A 20,059-nucleotide genomic window follows, 5' to 3' on the forward strand; every position below is an offset into this window, starting at 1 on the left:
GGACTGAGGGCACTTCCAAACAGCCTGCCTTTCCCAGAGTCCTCTCTCCTTGTCCATCAGAACAATCAGCAGAACAGAGATCTTGGAAGCATAATGATATACTTTTTCTTCCTCTTTCCCTCTTCCCTCCCTCCTCACCTTCCTCCCTCCCATCCCTTCCCTTTCTTTCCGTCCCCTCCTCTCCCCTTTCTTTTCCCTTCCCTTTCTTTTCTCCCTTTCTTCTTCTTCTTTTTTTTTTTTTTTTTTTAAGACAGAGTCTCGCCCTGTCACCCAGGCTGGAGTGCAGTGGCACGATCTTGGCTATTGCAGCCTCTGCCTCCTGGTTTCAAGCGATTCTCCTGCCTCAGCCTCCCGCATAGCTGGAATTACGAGTGTGCACCACCATGCCCAGCTAATTTTTGTATTTTTAGTAGAGACAGTAGATGTTGGCCAGGCTGGTCTTGAACTACTGACCACAAGTGATCTGCCTGTCTCCACCTTGCAAAGTGCTGGGATTACAGGCATGAGCCACAGCACCTGGCCCCTTCTTTCTTTCCTTCCTTCCTTCCTTCCTTCCTTCCTTCCTTCCTTCCTTCTTCTTCTCTTCTCTCTCTCTCTTTCATTCTTTCTTTTTTCTTTCTTTCTCCCTCCCTCCCTCTCTCCCTTCCTTTCTTCCTCTCAATGAACATAGTATTTTGAATACTATAGTAGACTAAATAGTGCCCCCCCCACCAAAGGTCCATGTTGTAATACCTGGAACCTGTGAATATGTTACCTTACATGGCAAAGGGCACTTACTTTGCAGATATGATAAAGAGGGACTCAGAAGGTGTCAGAGTCAAGGAAGACAATATGACAACAAGCCAAGAGGGGTTTGAAGATGCTACTTTGCTGGCTTTGAAAGGGGCCAGAGCCAGAGAATCCAAGGAATGCAGCTCTAGCAGCTGGAAAGGCCACAGTTCTCCCCTAGAGCCTCTGGAGGGAGCGCAGCCCTGCCAGCACCGTAGGTTCAGCCCGGATGCACCATTTCAGACTTCGGACCTCCAGAACTATAAGAGAATATATTGTGCTATTTTAAACCTTAAAGTTTGTGGTCATTTGTTCCAGCAGCAACAGGAAACTAATTTGAGCACCAAGCACTGTATCTGATATAACCAAAGCTTCAAAGGAGGGTGCAGGCCCAGGAGTCGTGTGGCCACTGCCAGGAGAGCTAAAGCCATAAGAGTGAGTGGGGAAGGGGAAGAGTTCCAGGAGCCATGAACGGATTACTCAAGCAGGGATGCACATTGTATATAAAAGAAAGACATGAAGTACAGTTACAGAAGAGAGATTGGGGCATTGTCACTTCACAGAAGGCAATGGGGAGTGTCAAGAGATTGATTTTCCCTCCTTTTCCCTGGGCTGTAATTTCTCCCTCTTTCTTGGCTATTCATAAACAGATGGCAATGGACCCCATGAGTGGAGCTTTAAGCCAAAATGCCCAAATCCATAGAGACAGAAAGTAGGTTGGTGATTGCCAGGGACGGGCTGGAAGGGAGCCGGGGGAAAATGAGGAGTGACTGCTAAGAGGTAGAGGGTTTCTTTTGGGGGCTGTGAACATGTTCCAGAATTAAACAGTGATGGTTGCACAACTCTGTGAAAATACTAAAAACCCACTAAATTGTACATTTTGAAGGGGTGACTTTTAAGGTATGTGAATTATATTTCAATACAAATAAAATAAGTAGATAGATAGATAAAAGCCCACTCCTTGAGTGGCTTTCATTCAATGCAGCAGAACCAAAGAGCAGCCAGCGCCCTCCAAGCCTAATGTGCTCCTTCTCACCACGCAGCTCTTGGCCACCTCGCTTCCTGCCTCTCTCAGTTGATTCCCTGTGACTCTATCCCTGCATGGAGGAGAGACAAGTGAAAATGAAAGACAGATGAATGTGTCAAGTTGAGAGCTCTTTACATGATGAAGGTGTTTCTGCTTCATTGCATGAAACAGAACATAGAGCGGTGATAAAACCCAGCCAGATCCTTTGGGTTGACTTCCAACCGCAGGTGGTGGTTACTCATTAGGAAAGAGCGAACACTGTAATGACTTCAAAACTAAGGAGTGCAAAGCCAAATATTCACTAATAATCACTCATCAAGGAGAACAGATGGCACACGTTGAACACTCCTGAAAATGAAAGCCCTTGGCTGCAGGGGTGAATGTCCAGGACCCACAGAAAATATCAAGTCAGATACCTCTTGAAGCACTGATGGGAAGGTGCAGCTGGACTCCCTGGAACTCTGAAGCTGAGGTCAGAGATGACTCTGCTTCTGTCCAACTCCTTAATCACATTTCTACAAGGCACTAAGCATCTCCATTTTTCTGTCTGTAGAATAGGTATCTTGGTTGCCATACACCAACTTTTCTGATGTTTTAATTAAAACTAGGAAAACTGTCTTTTAGGATTGGGCTGCTAGCAATACGGAAAGGAGCACAAATTTCTGGGTAATGGAGAGAAAATCTATTCTAGTTCAAGTATTTGGAGTTCCTATAAATCTTACTCTATATACAATTGTTGCTTGAGAAATAGTATTACCAATAGACCGCAAACAATATGCTTTTTAATCAACTGTGTCTCATCTGAGCTGTGATACATCTTTGGCCTTATGAAAAGAGAATGTTTATTTAATAAGAGCAGCTGCTGTAATTTTTCAAAATCATACCTTTTTCTGAAATTATTCCCCTGCTCACAAATGGTAGTGACTTTTGTGAAAGAGTTTATTTTGATTATTCTATTAGCTGGATCAGTAATCAGAAAACTTGCTTTGAGGGAATTGTTTCCAGATCATGTCATATCACACAGGGACCCCTTGGGAGTCATCTACATAAGCTTTCTAAAACCTAACTTTTAAACAGCAGCAACAGTCAAACACAGTGGATGTGGCGGGACCATTCTCTTATGATAAGGTTTTGTACTTCTAAAATAGGTTTCCTACTCAAAGTTCGGACCATAATTAATCAGTCCTGGTTGGAGACTTATACCAAAACTGCAATATATGTGTGTTTTAAGCATGATTTAAACATAACTTTTCTTTTCTTTTTTTAGAGACAGAGTCTCGCTCTGTTTCCCAGGCTGGAGCGCAGTGGCATGATCACAGCTCACGGCAGCCTTGACCTCCTGGGCTCAAGCAATCTTCCCACCTTAGCCTTCTGAGTAGCTGGGACCACAGGCACATGCCACCAAGCCTGGCTAATTTTTTTATTTTTTTGTAGATGAAGGGTCTTGCTATGTTGACCAGGCTGGTCTTGAACTCCTGGGCTCAAGCGATCCTCCCACTTCAGCCTCCCAAAGTGCTGGGACTACAGACGTGAGCCACTGCACCCGGCCTAAACATAGTTTTCCAAGCACACTATGGTCATTATCTTTAATTTATGGGAGAATTAAAGAGTTGAAATGACTCTTCACTCTTTTGAAGTGGTAGCAACTAAAAAACATAGTAGTTTTTTAGTTTTGGCAGTAGTTATGGCAGAGAGATTGGAACCACTGGATGCTGGACTTCCAGGGCATGATGGCTCACTCGATAGGTGAGGATTTGCCACCCATGGAGAAGGGGGCCTCAGGTACAAGTGCCCCACAGGCCATCCCCTCTGCACTCTGATATCTCAGGTAGACACCTCACCTTACCTCCCTCAGGTCTTCCTTTCCAAGAGTCACCACTCTGTCCACACTCCACCTTTCATTTCCTTCTTCCTCCTTCCACATTTGTCCCATAGCCCAAATCTGAGCTCTCTTCTCTTTGAAACTTCTCTCCATTTCCATCAATGCTTAGTGAACATCTGCAGGGTGTCAGAAGTTTAAAAAGTGACATTCATCTAAGAACCCAGGAACAGCCAAATTTATGTGTCCCTGGCCAGCCTTTCCTTTGAAGTTCCTGAGAAACCCATACAGCAGAAAGTCACCAAGAATTAGACATTTTTGGGTTACTATTTTGGCATTGTCTCCAACTAAGTTGTCCTGGTCAGCTTGGGACTGAGGAAGTTTCCAGGGACATGGGACTTTCAGCTTGAAAACCAAGACAGTCTCAGGCAAATTGGGGAAAATTGATCACTGTTGCGGATTCAATTCTGTGTCCACCCCCACCTCAAAATTCATATGCTGAAGCCCCAACTCCCAATACCTAAGACTTTATTTGGAAATAGGGTCACTGCAGATGTAATTTGTTAAGATGGGGTCATACTAGAGTAGGGTGGGCCCCTCATCCAAGATGACTGGTGTCCTTATAAAAAGGTGAGATTTGGATGCAGACAAGCACATGGGGAGAAGGCTACATGAAGATGAAGGCGGAGGTCAGGGTTATGCAGCACCAGTTAAGGAGCACCAGCGATTGCTGGCAGACCACCAGAGGCCCGGGGACAAGCATGGGCAGATTCTCCCTCACAGCCCTCAGAAGGAACTAACTTTGCTGACAGCTTGGTCTTTAGCAAAAATCTGGACTCATATAACAATTATGTTGGAAGGTCACAGATATGGGAAGGGTTCGGGTAAAATTTGAGGAGTAAGGTGATGCTGAAACCACGGAGAGGGAACGAGGTCACTTAAAGCTTTCCCAGGCTTCAAGAGGCCTTGCATGGATAGTAGGAACCCATGTCTCATTCCCAGGAAGCACACTGGGATTGGGACTGTGGATGGGACCTTGGTAGGACTTCCTATGAAATGAGTTAGGAGTAAGCCTCCTAGGCCCAGAAAAGACCCCACATGAAGCCTGCCAAGGAGTCCCTGCCACTATCCGCCCTCAGGGCACTGAGCTGTACTTCTTAAATAAAGAATATGAGCCACAGACTAGAGGAGCCTTCTGTAAATGTCCTGGACTCTGCCATATTTTCTTTTCTTTCTTTTCTTTTTGTTTTTTTTTTTTTTGAGACAGAGTCTCGCTCTGTCACCCAGGCTGGAGTGCAGTGGCCCAATCTCGGCTCACTGCAAGCTCCGCCTCCTGGGTTCATGCCATTCTCCTGCCTCAGCCTCCCTAGTAGCTGGGACTACAGGCACCCGCCACCACGCCCGGCTAATTTTTTGTATTTTTTAGTAAAGACGGGGTTTCACCGTGTTAGCCAGGATGGTCTCGATCTCCTGACCTTGTGATCCACCCGCCCCGGCCTCCCAAAGTGCTGGAATTACAGGCGTGAGCCACCGCACCCGGCCGACTCTGCCATATTTTCTAGGCTTGCATACAACTCAGAAGCAGAGAAGGAAAACCCCTAGCTTATGACCAAGACGAAGTTTCCAGTGAGTCTGGTTGGTGGGAGCTCAGAACAGATTAAAGTTGATTTAGAAAAATAAAAACACTCTGACATTTTTCATGTGCACAGATGTAGGGTAAGACTCATACCCACTACCCATTCATTGATTCAGACAAGATATGCTTTTAACTCTGCAAGCTGAGGTCCAACAGGCTGATGTCTCTAGGCTCATTTCTTGTCCAAGCTTCCCTGCCTTAGCTGAGCAGCAGTTGCTACAGAGAGAGACACGTCTTCCCCAACCCCAATCAGAAAGTCAATTGAGGAGATTCCTGAAGTGCTATAGCCGTGCTGTGAAGGGTGGCGGGAGATTAGGCAGAGATGGGAGTGGGATAAAAAGGAAACAGAGAAACCTTCTGTGCTGTGAATGGTTGGGGAGAGGTGAAGCAGGGATGGGAATGGGATGAAAAGAAAACAGAGAAGCCCAAATGGATGGGAGACAAGAGGAAGACAGACAATGTACAGTCCAGCCCTGCAGAGGCCTCTGGGCCCCTCTAGAACTCCAGGAGGCCCCCTCAGCTCCATGGTTTGCATTCCTGCCCCAGCGATTCCTGGCTTTCATTTAGAACCCTGGGTGTGTATTAGTTTGAATCATAGCCCACAGCTTGCTGCACTGTCAAATTTGTGTCTGCCAACAGAAAGGAATGTATTTCAGCCAGCAAGAGAGGGAACTCAGGATTTGTGGCAAGGAAAAATGGAATGCAGTAGAGGAGAAAACTCCATTAGAAATTCTCTGAGGAGCCAGGATCATTCGTCTTCCTCTTCTGGTTGTCAGTGGGCCACTCTCTGCCTACAGCTGCCACCATCTCTCTAAAGGAAAGAAACACAGCATGCTTATTTGCCTCTGCTAGTTGTAGAATCAGACAGATCGTTGATAAAGCCCTGCGTCAACCTCTCAACCTAACCTTTTACTTTATCAGTATCCTGTCCTCTAGATGGGAGATGGGAGTGGGAGCCCAATCCTTTTCTTTTCTTTTTTCTTTTCTTCTCTTCTTTTTTTTCTTTTTTCTTTTTTTTTGAGACAGAGTTTCGGTCTTGTTGCCCAGGCTAGAGTGCAATGGTGCGAGCTCGGCTCACTGCAACCTCCGCCTCCCGAGTTCAAGTGATTCTCCTGCCTCAGCCTCCCGAGTAGCTGGGATTACATGCATGCACCACCACACCCAGCTAATTTTGTATTTTTATTAGAAATGGGGTTTCTCCATGTTGATCAGGCTGGTCTCGAACTCCTGACCTCAGGTGATCCACCTGCCTTGGCCTCCCAAAGTGCTGGGGTTACATACGTGAGCCACCGCACCTGGCCCAACCCGCTCCTTATCAAAAAACTTCACCCCGTTGTGGCCTCTTTATCCTTCACGTGTGTGTCCTGTCCACTAGTCCGTCTTTCCATGATTGGTTTGCACACGGCCACTTCAGACCTCCCTACTGCCCAATGTATCTACTGTTATCTTCCTAAAACTCATGAGCTTTAACCAGGAAATTGGACTTTGAATTCAAAATAAGTAAAACAATTAGAAGACCAGAAGTACAGGGAGTGCTCTATTTTACTTCTTGCTGTTTGTGTTTATTTCCCCAGAGACAGAGCACTACGGAAGGGAGCCCCATTCCCAAGCATGGTGTCCAATACACTGGTGAGTCTTGGCAGATTATGAGGCAGGTCACAGACAATTGCTATCGTGAATTAAAATCTGTGAATAAATCTCTTTATAATAAAGTAGGGAGTATCCAAGAGTATCCTTATAATAAAATTACATCTACTCATTTCCATTTGGATATGCCCTCTTGAGTGGAAGAAGGGGATGGAGTACAGTTGGCACACACCTCAGTCACCTAACTACCAAATTATGGTTGTTAAATATGGCTGTAATAAAAAAATTTCAAGCTTTTCTTGAAATCTAGTTATACCCATGGGGATGTATTTAACACGTGATACCACTTGCCTCTTCTTTTGACAGAAAGAATAACTGGGCTCAGTAATGCACCTAGAGACTCAGATTCCAGACCTGCCCACTTGCTTTACTATCCAAAACAACCATGACACATGACTTCTCTGGCGGGGTGTTGGCCAAGACAAACTGAACTATAGAAGATCCTTGACTTGCCAACGTTCAAATGATGAACTTTCAAAAATAGCGAAACTGGCTGCAGAGCAAAAGCTTTTCAGCTCTGCACAACACCAACAGATGGCGCTAAGTGTCACCCTTGTGGAGAGCAGAGGGACCTCGGAAGGGCCTTTGGAAATCTAATCTGGTTTTGAGTTCTTGGTGGGAAAATGCACCTTTAAGTTGGGGGAGTTTGAAGACGTTGCCAAGACACGTGCTGCAGCATTTGATCTTTTCTGCCGCACTGGCTTCTGCAATTAACATGCTTTCACCAGTGAAACTCAGGTTGCGGGGAGAGCATTCTTCCAGGTTCATGCCTGTTGTCATGGAGTAATTATAATTCATGTCTCCGTTCACAGTGTCCTGGTTTGTAGAATAAAATATCTGGTCCACCCACCCAGTGGGATCTTTGAGAATCCATTCATTTTAGAGTCAGCATCTGTGGCTGGTTCCAAGACTGTAATTTGCTTCCTTGGCAAATGCCACACTACATCAAAAGGGGGCAAAAGAGTATGATTGCTCTATTTTTACTTAGAATCCAAGTGGTAATTTATGGAATACAGGGGTTCTCAACCTCAGCACTATTGACGTTGGAGCTGGATAATTCTTTGGTGGTTGTGGGGGAGGGGCGAGGGCGGGAGTCCTGTGCTTTGCAAGATGTTTAGCAGCACCTCTGGCCTCCACTTGCTAGATGCCAGCAACACCTCCCCACTCTCTCCCAATTTGTGACAACCAAATACGTTTCCAGACATTGTCAAATGTCTTTAGGAGGCAAAACCATCCCTGTATGAGAACCACCATTTTAGTGCTTTGTACAAGTAGGATTCAGTGTACAAACCTGAGTCGATTCTACCTCGGACAGTGATGGTACCTGGAATAGCACCCAAAATCAGGGAGTGAGAAACGCTTACCTTTAGCATTTGAAAGAATGAGCTGGTGGTGATGAGCTCAAGATTTAGAGTCAGACAGGTTTAGGTTTGAATGTGGCCCTGTCACTTTGTAACTGTATAAGCTTGTGCAAGTTACTTGATTTTTTTGAACCTCAGTTTCCTCATCTATAAAATAACAGTAATACCTGCCTCTTCAGGTGGTTAACACTTAAATCAGTTCAATGATGTAAACCACTTAGTACACAGCATACACTATGTAGTGTGAGCTACTACCGTCATTATTATATGCAACATCATCTCTTCTCAGATTTCTATAATTAGCCTTGGTTATTATTTCGGTTATTTACTTCCTCATCAGAGTCTTTCTTTAGTTGTCAGCAATTTTTGAACCCTCTTTAACAATAGTCAGCACTTGTTTTTTTGCAAGAAATGATTCTAAAACAGTTTGCAAATTTCTACATAAGAAATTGATGCAATAATAACAGCAGCAGCAGTAATTTCTATAGGATTACTGAGATAGAGCTATCATCGTGGCCAGGCTTGCTTCTATGTCTAAATTCCAGACATTCTTGATCTTAAAGGGCTTCTATTACCAGAATTCAGAAGCACTGAATCAAAATTCAGAAGAGAATGTTCTAGATTAGGAATCAAAGTGCCTTGACAATGAGATTGTACAGTCTGGCTCATTTCTATGGTTCCTTGGAGATTCACCCTCTCCATGAGAAAAGAGGCCATTTGCAATTCTGCCTGATTCCAGAGCCCTTTTATTTGTTTACTGGGTACTCATGCCAGAGAAAAAAGGCAGCTTCCAGATCCATGCAAATCACATTGCATTAGTGCTTATATTTACAGATAAACAGCTCCATTAAGCACTGGAAAAGCCTTCTTATACTTGGACAACCAGGTGAAAATATATAAATTGAATTTCACACTCATGGCACAAATTCATCCTTACAATACAGTCCCCCAAAGCACTTCAAGTGATTTTGTGTGAAGAGTTTCTGAGATGAAATGGTAAGATATGACTGCTCTGAGGGAGGGGGCAATAGGGAGAGGAGTTACTTCATTAGCATTGTCAGCTTTGTCACAAGGTGACATTATGAAAGAATTTAGCCTCTTTGTAGACCATTAAGGGAATAAATACATATTGTAATCTAATTGGCAAAACTGCAAAAAGGCCCCATCTGGATAACCCACCACTTTCATTATGATGTGCTTATGAAAGATATTTGAAAGTCAAATATCTGAATTTTGAAGAAGAAGAAAAAAAAAGGTTTGGCCTACTCCTTGTTTAGAGAGAAGATATAGATAACATTCCAAACAATGGTTTGTATCGGTGCTGCTGAGCTCAAGGCCCAGGCAATGAGGTGGGTGTGGTAAGGGTCTCCTCAGGCCGATTTAGAGCCTAGACTGAAGGTGGCTTCTAGTTACCTGGACTCAGGTATCTGTCTCTTCCCAGGGCTGCTGTCTTTCCTGCTGGGACAGGGAGAATAGAGGACAGGCAACTCTTAATAGTAAACATCCCTCAGAGATTCATTAGGAGTCTATAGCAGGGATGGCAGAGTCCATCAGAACTGAGCAGATTCTCAGCCAACTACCTGCACCCCCACCCCACACACATGGGGGGTCCATGGAGAGGATCTCTAACCTGCTGCCTGCCAGCAAGCCCTAGCATTACTCACTAGGAGATGTTAGGCAAGTTACCTTATTTTACCAAGTCTCAGTTTCCTCATCTGTAAAATGCGGATTCCTGCGCATAGTGGGCTGTGAGAATTAAATGGGATGACAAATGTGAAGCCCTGAGCACAGCACCTGGCTTATGGGAGTGTCCCTTACCCCTCCTCCTTTCTAACATAGGAGAAGGTAGAGATTCTCAATTCCTCTTTCAACAGCAATAACAATAACAGGCCACCACAGTCTACAAATTTCTGTATGTCACGGGATTCATAAGAAATTGAGAAGTACATTTCTTTCGAGGACAAACACACTCAATTTTTTTTACTGTATTTCTAGTATATATAGAGAAAAGCAAAAAATACAACTCCAAGAGACCTCGGTAGTAGTCTCTCCTCTCCCTGTAATGTGTTGTGTGACCATTGATATTCCCTTGATCAGTCTGATTCCTGGTTACCTGGACAAGGTGATCTTCACAGTGAATTCTAGCTGTGATGTTTGCTGACTGATTCTCCTACATAGTCAAGGCTCTGTAGAGTGAGCCTTTCAGGGATTGTCTGTGAACCCTTTCCTTCCTCCAGAAACATTTCCCCATCCACATGGCTATATGAGATCTCTGGCTTTCCCTGGCCAAACAGGGTTCTTCCAAGTATCTGATCCAAATGAGTGAGTTCAAGTTCTTCTTCATGAGTTGTTCTGGAATTGAGAAAGAGCTATAGGAAGCAATGAGATATAGCTGAAAACCTGCTGACAGTCACCTTGCCAGCCATCTGGTGAAAAATAGTCTGCAGCAAGAGAGAAAAAAGCCAACACTGAGAGAGAAGCAGAAAGGAGAGATGCAGGGAGAGTCTAGTCTGTACTTGACTCCCTAGTTCTGATTGTCTCACCTGTGCCCCTCTCCTTTCTGAAGTTTTCCTTTCTTGGATTCTGTGAGCCAAAGAATTCTCTTTTTGTTAAAGCTACTTTGAGTTCGTTCTCTGTCCCCTGCAACCAAAAATTCTGATTTGGAGCATCTTTTTATGTGATCTAAGCATCCCTATACTCATCTAAGATGGCATGGTTTTTAATATTTTATTAAACCTACTGTTATGCTACCCTTGAAATTCAGCTTCTGTTGCAACAAGCTTTTATCGCAAGGGAAAACAGGGAGTTCCTCCATGGTATATAATCCTGTCCTCTCCAGGTCCCACAGATATCCTCTCTGTGAGGGCCCAAAAAAGAGGAACATGCCACAGAGTAAGCCAACACCAGCCAGGGAGGATGGAGAGGCAGAGCTGGCTGGGGTCCCCCTGAATCTGCTGCTGTTAGAATTTTCTGTCAGTGTGGAGTTTATTAAGAGTGGATCTAACTTTCAGAGGAGAGTGCAAATTTTCTCTCAAGCCAGTTTTAAAACATTTAGGCAGAGTAAAAAGTCAAAAAAGACTTTAGGCTCTGAAGTCCTGCATTCTAGCCTGACACAGGAGGGTTTCCCTGGTGGCTCAGCTCTTACATGAAGCTCTGTTTTTTTGTGTGAAACATCAAAAACTCAATGTTTCTCAGAAAGTTCTGAAAAGAATCTTATTTCCCAGGCAACAGCTTTTCACTTGCTGTCTTCCCCCTGGGCCTCCACAAATTAATCATGAGTATAAATAAAAGCACTACTCAAGTCGGTGACTGCGGCCCTGCCCTGCCTGTTGGGATAGCAATGGAGAAATCAAGAACAGAGTGAGGTCCTAAGAAAAGCAGTGGAGCAACTCAAGGCTGAGTGTCCAGACTATAGCTGGGCGGCTGCAATGCTGGTCAAAAACAGGGCCTGCCAAGCTCTGATGCTGCAGGAACACATGGGAGCTTGCCTTCACAGGCAATGCCTCCTGACTTCGCAGGAGCTGGATGCTTCCTGCTTTCAGAGGAGCCCGATGCATCCTGATAGGAGGCAGATGTGCCTTTTGCATCTGATGCCATCCACTGACAAGGAGTGTGGACTGTTCACTGGCTCTTATTAAAGAATGCCTCAGACACTGCTTATACCAATATTTTACACCACAGTTCAACTTTTGAAGGGTGTATTGTTTTCAGTGTCAAAGTAGGTCAATCTGGATGCTTTAAGCTGCAGTAACAGAAAACCAACTCAAATTGATTAAACAATTTGGGGATCCATTGCTTAACAAAGAGGACATCAAAAGATAGGGTTAGCTTTGGTTTAATTGGCAGAATCAGGCTCATGATATAATCAAGACCGAGGTTCTTTCCAGGACTCTCCTCTGCTATCCAGCCTCAACTGCATCCTAAAGCATCCTCTTGGTCATAGAGTGGCTTCTAGCAGCAACCAGGCCTATTCCCTTGTTCACATCCAATAGGAGAAAGGGTGAGTTTCTTATGGAAAACTTTCAGGGAGGCAAATAAGTATGTTTCCAGAAATTTCCAGCAAAATGCTTCTCATGTCTCATCAACGAGCTGCATATCACATGCCAATTCCTGAACCAACCCCTGATAAAGAAGGAGGAATACCCCTTGGACCCATCAGGAATAATCAGTCAGGCTCTAGGGAGCCAAGGGAGGTATGTGGATTATTTGGGAAAGGGTAGATAGCAGAATCAAGTCTGGTTTCTATTAGACACGAGATGGGAAATACATGGCTAGACAGGCATCCAATCATACTAACTAGCTTAAAGTCTGAATAGCCCACTTACCTATTTAGGTTGCAGCTTCTACACAAATACACTTTGCAATACAGTTCTTCAACTCCCACCTCCATATTCCTCACCTCATAAGAAGCAGCAGGAGCCTTCATCAGGAGAGACAGGATAGGAAAGTTGCTCGGGTTGTTCTGAGAATCCTTGGCTGGGTTTTCTCTTGCAGACCCTTAATGTAGTACGGTAAAGTCTTCATCTAGACAAGGGCATTTGCAACATCTTGACATCAAGTGTACTGACTAGAACCACAGTTCCCACACTCCAGGGTGCAGAAGAATCTTGGGATGGGGGATCAGCTTTGTTCAAAATGCAGATCTCTGTGCCCCAATCCTAGACATTCTGACTCATTGGGTTTGGATGAGACTCAGGAATCCGTATTGAACAAATCCAGCGTGAGATTGGGATGCGGGTTTTCTTTGGATCACACAGAGAAACAATGGCCATGAGCCATGTGTCGTAGTAGGTTGGACTCCCCACAAGCATGCCCAGAGACAAGGGTCTTTCATGACAGTGATTAACTAGAAAGTGTTCCGGAAAAACAGTTAGGAAATGGAAAATGGGACCGGAAAGGGAAGGAAGACAAGTCAGGCTGCAATATTAGTGAAGTCCCATGGAGGTGAACCTATGGCTTGGTTCCACAGAGAAGCTCTGGAAACAGTGGAGGACAGTGTTGTTCCAGTCAGCAGAGAAGGGAGCTGGAATAGTTATACTCCACCTCACCCTGTAAACTTCAGTCATTGGTTAATCACTGCAGGGTTCTAGCAGCTGGGAGTAGAAAGCCTTTATCAGGAGCCATTGTCCACAAAAATGGTAAAGGTGTCGGATAGGAGGTATGGGCAGGACACCTACATTGTCTGCTCCTCATATTGTAAGTATATTCAATCACTTCAAAAATTTTATATGTGAATTATATCTCAACAAAGTGTTATTCAAACGATAGATTTTAAGAGATATACTGAAGAACTCTATACTCTGAGCTCCACAGTGGACCATGAAACCACACAACATACAAAGGATGCAGATTGTCACACTACATGCAGGCCAGACTCAGGAGCAGGATACCATGTTCAACACTGACTCATAGTACTTCAAATCAGCTATGTGGTCTCCTCATAGTTTAATAAAATTACACGAATATGGTCAGGCACGGTGGCTCATGCCTGTAATCCCAGCACTTTGGGAGGCTGAGGAGGGCAGATCACTTGAGGTCAGGAGTTTGAGGCTAGCCTGGCCAACATGGTGAAACCTGTCTCTAATAAAAATACCAAAATTAGCTGGGCATGGTGGTGTTTGCCTGTAATCCCAGCTACTCGGGAGGCTGAGGTAGGAGAATCACTTGAACCCGGGAGGCAGAGCCTGCAGTGAGCCTAGATTATGCCACTGCCTCCAGCCTAGGAGACAGAGTGAGACTCCATCTCAGAAACAAAAAAAATTAAATGAATATTTGAAAAAAATGTATATATGGACAGTAGCACTTAGGAACTCCCTGTTTTTCCCTGAGGTAAGAGCTTGTTGCAACAGAAGCTGAATTTCAAGGGTAACATAATAGTAGAGACAAATGCTCATATAATGAATTCAACAAAATCATGGTTGCCTACTGGAGATTAGAGATACAAAGATGCCTGAGACAGGTTTCTGTTTGCAAGGAGCTTAGAATTTCATTTATTCATCCATTTAACAAACATTTGTTGAACACCTATAATGTGCCTATCACTGACCTAGTCCCTGGAGAATATCCATGAATACAAGAGACAGGTTCTCTTATAATTGAAGTGGAGAGACACTCAGCAAAGAGGTGCATGATGAAGAGATAAACAAACTTACACTAAAGTGCCAGTAGTGATGAGTTACGGAGAGAAAATGGCAGGTGAGGGGGCTTGACTTCCAAACGATGGGAGACCTCTTTGAGCAAGTGTGTCCTTAATGTTGTCAAAGCCTATAGATAAAAGTCAACTGGGGGGGGGTCAAAATGGCAGATAGGAGGCAGGACTAACTTGCAGCTCTCACTGAGACGGACAGAGCAGCATGTGGAGACTCACATCGTGAACTTTTGCTCCAAGAACTACCGCAGGAACATACCAGGAAAGCTGAGAGAATCCACAAATGCTTTGAGGGAGGTGGAATGCTGCTGCAGGCTCCACGGGACAGCTGAGGAACTGTGAGTGGGCTTGCCGTCTCAGCTGGGAGGCTTATAGCCCGCGGCAAGTTTTCAGCCCTGTTCACTGGCTGCCCGGAAATAAACTCGGTGCTGTTGCAGGGGCACAGTGGGAGTGAGACCAGCCTTTTGGTACTTGGCATACCAAACCCCATCTTAGCACCTGCCTCAGAGAAACACAACCTACAACAGGCATCAAAGAAAACTTCCTGGAGGAAATGTTTCTTCAGGCAAGTTCTGAAAGACTGATAGGAGAATTAGGCAGAAGAATGAGAGAAGGAGACATAGCATGTGCTAGTTAATAAAAGTTCAATTCCACTTTCATCTGGGGCTCCCTTGTTCTGTGTTGAAGGCTGTTTCTTGCTAGCGTACAGGAGAAAATGTAGTTTACTCATTCTGTTAATGGATATTGAGATGGTATCACAAGGAGGCTCAGGGGAGAGATACATGGATAGATCTCTGTGCCTGGACTCAGACTTTGAGAATATTTGTGACTCATGAGATTTCCCCTCAAAAGGTAGCCACTGTGCAGATGTCAGTCAGCCCTCTTCCTTGGCCAGCGCAGAGCTTGCTCATGAAGCAGAGGCTGTGCGTGGGCTCCACAACATGGACTTCTCTCTAAAGATCGCCTTGGCAGTGCCATGGGACTGTACAATTTGATGGCAGCGACAACCAAACCTAAAACCCCAATATGGTGTAATAATCTGGCAGTAGCTTGGTCATACCAGGTGCTTTTCACCATGGAAGGGCAGAGCTTTTCCCTCACTGGAATAGGCCCTCTTACCTGGACTTAGATGTGTTGCTTCTGCCCATGACGCTTTTGCCAGCACCATCCTCCATGACTTACTGGATACATCATGGTAGCCCACACAGCATCCCTTCTGTTCTAGAAACTTCCTTCATTGTGAAAAAAGTGTCCCTAGGAGGCACTGGGCTAAGGAGCCCCATTATCCCATCCACAACCTTGCGTTTTGCTAGATTAAATAAATTGGAGCAAGGTGTACTGTTAGGTTGAACCATATGAAAATGATGATATTCAACCATTTTCTGACCTATAAAAATGACAATTTCATATGACTCAATCCAATAACTAGTGGGGTTTCGGTGAGGCTCTCCTAGGAGAGCAGACTACTGCATCTTGAGTCATGAGAGGTAATAAAACTGCTAGGCAGGAGTGATATTTAGAAGCATAAATATAGGAAGAAGCATACATGAGCCCCCAAATGAACAGACCATGGTAGATATTTCTCATTTTTCACACAGAGAATCCAGACATATTTTCTATGTTGTGAGAATGTCAAGCTCATGACCTAGCACAGCCAAGCAGATGCTTCTGTCTGGGACTTTGAACTCAAAGGAGTGAGGCAGTCAGAGGCGTGTGCGTGCGTGTGTGTGTGTGTGTGTGTGTGTGTGTGTGTTGGCTGCTGTGGATTAAAGAGTTCAGTGATGCAGGGGTGAGTCTTACAGGAGGGAGGAGCAGGATGTTCAGGGGCAGCAAGGCCAGCAGCAGTGAGTGTCCAGCTGGGAGCAGTGGGATCTTGAGCATATTCCCAGTGCAGTTTCAATCGGTCATGCCTCACCTCCTTTTCACTCCTGCTCAAACCTAGTTTTCCAGTCTTCCCATTGAGTGTACTAGCTTCTAAACCCTCTTACAATGAATCTTTTTTTCTGGTTATATTAACCAGAGTAGTTTCTGTTGTTTGTAACTCAAAACATTTATAAATACACTATCTTTTGGCCAGAGGTTTTACACTGCTTTCTAGATAATGGTATTTAATCAGATTTTTTTTCTTTTCTTTTTTCTTTTTTTTAGACAGAATCTTGCCTTCTCACCCAGGCTGGAGTGCAGTGGTGCAATGTTGGCTCACTGCAACATCTGCCTCCTGGGTTCAAGCGATTCTCCTGCCTCAGCCTCCCGATTAGCTGGGATTATAGGTGTGTACCACTGTGCCCGGCTAATTTTTGTATTATTAGTAGAGACGGTGTTTTGCCATGTTGGCCAGGCTGGTCTCGAACTTCTGACCTCAAGTGATCCACCCGCTTTGGCCTCCCAAAGTGCTGAGATTATAGGCGCGAGCCACCGCACCTGGCCCTAATCAGTTTCTTGACAGTAAAAGAATGCACCTGTAAAGTAAACCAAGTAAACAGTGGGCAACGAGGAGGAGGGCAGGTGTATTCCTTTTATTCACTCCTCTTTAGTTATTGGTTTTTTCATATGTTTTTAAAAAAATTATTGTGATAGCAATTTGTATTTGTTGGAAAAATCACTCATTTTATTTAGACTTTCAAATTTATAATATACAAGTATGCATGGTACTTTAAAAATTTTGTGTTTTCATTGCTGTAACATCTTCATATTTCTAATAATGTTCATTTATTTAACTGTTTTTTAAAAAGATTTGCCAAAGGGTAATCAATTTATTGTAGCAGTTTTCAACAGAGTGATTTGATTTATTAACTATACTTTCTTTTTATACTCAACTTCTTTTGCCTTCATTACATCCCTCTACTTGGCAGGAGAAATTTGTTTCTTTTCTAACATCCCACTAAAATTATTAATATGGTGATTTTTTTCTCTTTCTTCTTTTGTAGCAATAAAAGCATTTAAGTTAATTAATCTGGTTCAGTTCAACAAACATGTATAGTGTGCCTACTATGTAAGACAGTCACAGAGCCAGAGGGCACAAGATAAATAAGACATGAATATGTGTCCCCAGGAGGTCTAAAGAAGGGAACAGGCAGATGAAAAGATACATTTAAAATGATAGAAATATAATAGTTACCTTTAGATAAGATTAATAGTTATTTTTTTCTTCTATACATTTTTGTTGTTACTAATATTTCAATGGTACTTTTTCTTTTTTTTTGAGATAGAGTTCCCTTTGTCACACAGGCTGGAGTGCAGTGGCACAATCATAGCTCACTGCAGTCCTCGAACTCCTGAGCTCAGGTGATCCTCCCGCCTCAGCCTCCTGAGTAGCTAGGACTACAGGTGCTTACCACCATGCCTGGCAATGTTTTTTTTTTTTTTCTTTTTAGTAGAGATTAAGTCTTGCTATGTTGCCTAGGCTCGTCTCAAACTACTGAGCTCAAGCAATCCTCCCAACCTCATCCTCCCAAATTGTTGGGATTACAGGCGTGAGCCACTGCATCCTGCTCCATGATACATTTTTGAAAATTTACCAACATTTCATTCATGAATACATACTAAAGTCAGAAAAATAAGGAAAATGTACTTTTTTAAAAGAAAGAATATGACAGCATTAAAACTAGTGGTATTAAGCCTCAAAATCTGGAGATTCTAGAAAGACCTCTGGGTTTTCATGGAGGAAAAGTGTCAAAGAAAGACAAAAGGATGTTCCAGGCAAAAGAAGCAGTATCAACAGGGACCCAGCAATGGGAGAAAAGCAGCATTGTGCTGGTTGAATGTGAGCCCCCTGAAGCCTGTCTCCACATGTGCTGACTGCACTGCCATATCCCCGCCAACTGTTGATTAGTACATGTACTACAGTTGGGCCTGCAGTGCTAGACTTAACAGATGCCCCATGAATATGTGCAAACTTGAATGAAGATGGATGGGGTAGGGGTAGAGCACCATTTCCCACGAGGCCATTGGGAGCCCTTGTGACTTTTAGAAATGAAAGAAAATTTTACTGCACCCAGCTCTGTGTTTTAGAAGAATAGGATGTCCCTTTCTACAATTATGCAAGAATTCTAGTGGTTTTTCCCTTTTAAAAATGTAAGTGAAATTTAAGCCTGATTCCTACAGAGAATTAATTTTTATAACCACTATATTCTGCCATGAGGAGGGTTAATTACTGTTTTCCTTCTCTACTTTCTATTGAAACTATCCATGCAAATGAAAAAAAAATGTGAGGAACTTGGCACAAAGCAAAGCCAGCTATGACTTATCTAATTAATTTGACTGGAAACCCCTGGGTATTACAGGTCCTCCTCAAAAGACCATCCTTCAAAGGTAGGAGCCAAATTCTCAGTAATTGGCTTGTTCTGCAACCACCCAGCTATGTTTATCTTGAGAAAGATATGTGGGTCTGGTCGCTGTCTCCAGCCACCTGCACCCAGCCTCCCACCTGCTGAGCTACGTCATGGTACCCAGGGACCAGTGAAGGCAAGGTAAGGCTGGGAAGCCCAGGCTCCCTGCAGGCCAGAGAGTGGAGCAGGGTGAGGGGGAAAGAGGGATAATGCCTTCAGCACCTTCCAAACCTGGCTCCAGATTTGGAAACACCTGAAACTTCAGATAAAGTTTATTTATTTATTTATTTTGGCCTATAGTCAGACGTGTTATTGCAAATATAGAACACTATATTGTTAAAGGACAGTCTGGCATTCAGGCAATGAAGGACACGCTAAATGAAAGGTCAGTATACTTAATTCCATTAAAAATGTTAAATTTCTGTATGTCAAAAAATTCAGAAAATAAAAGACATGATAAATTAGGAAAATATTGCAAATGCTTGTATCCAATTATTGAATGGAAAGAGAAGAGTAAAAATAGTACTTTATATAATGACCTCAATTTCATAAAAATAATACATACATACATTTTAAAGGAAGACGGTCAAAAGAAGACATTCTTGCTAGTGATAATATAATTAATTTTTGTGTTTATGCATTTCTGAGACCTGTATTTTCAACAAGTATTTATTCTTAAATATAGACATTTTTAAAAGTAAAAAAATAGTTCTACTTACTTCTGCGAATTATCTTGAGGAAATAATTAAACCAACCAGAAGTATACAGATGCCTACTCTAACTTTATTATTATAAAATTGGAAGTAACTTAAATGTTAGGTCATAGTGGAAGACCTAAATGAGTATTGTATATGCACTCTAACAAATATGATAAAATCATTCAAATGGTAATTATGATGATTACATAAAGATTATAAATATGATTATGATAGACTGTTCGAAGAAAAAAATTAACAAGATATGTGCATATTATGTAAATATGTAAAATTTATCATTTGGACAAGAACTAGGGGGAAATGTGTAAATATAAAAATAATCACATTAGCAAATGAAGATTATGGATGCATTTTTCTCTTTTTTTAAAAAAAGTTATTATATTATTGTTTATGTTTCAAAAGAGTAGGATGAGATTGTCCTGAGGCACTTCCATTATAGGTTAGAATGCCATGAGCCCTTGCTCTGTCCAGTGCTGGCATCCAGGCTTCTCAGTTCAGTCTGTCCACACTTGTATCAGTCCATTTGTGTTGCCACAAAGGAATACCTGAGACTGGGTAATTTACAAAGAGGTGTCTTTTGGCTCGTAGTTCTGCAGTGCCATATACAAG

At 43.2% G+C, this 20,059-nt stretch overlaps 2 long non-coding RNA genes across 6 annotated transcripts in view; one reads left to right on the forward strand and one right to left on the reverse strand.

The window, feature by feature from the left end:
• Positions 1 to 7,750, forward strand: part of LINC02930 (long intergenic non-protein coding RNA 2930) — a 216,730-nt gene extending 208,980 nt beyond the window's left edge. For 2 of the 5 annotated variants that reach the window (XR_002957103.2, XR_007062314.1), the window contains exons 4-5: positions 6,825 to 6,879; positions 7,204 to 7,750. This is a non-coding gene — a long non-coding RNA (long intergenic non-protein coding RNA 2930). Of the gene's footprint in view, positions 1 to 253; positions 3,542 to 6,824; positions 6,880 to 7,203 lie in introns of those variants that run through there. The other 3 variants (XR_946366.3, XR_001747608.2, XR_946368.3) reach the window with 3 other exon arrangements.
• Positions 1 to 20,059, reverse strand: part of WDR11-DT (WDR11 divergent transcript) — an 89,368-nt gene that overhangs the window by 55,750 nt on the left and 13,559 nt on the right. The window lies entirely within an intron of this gene.

The sequence above is a fragment of the Homo sapiens genome, chromosome 10 (assembly GCF_000001405.40).
Source record: "Homo sapiens chromosome 10, GRCh38.p14 Primary Assembly".
Taxonomy (NCBI): Eukaryota; Metazoa; Chordata; class Mammalia; order Primates; family Hominidae; genus Homo; species Homo sapiens.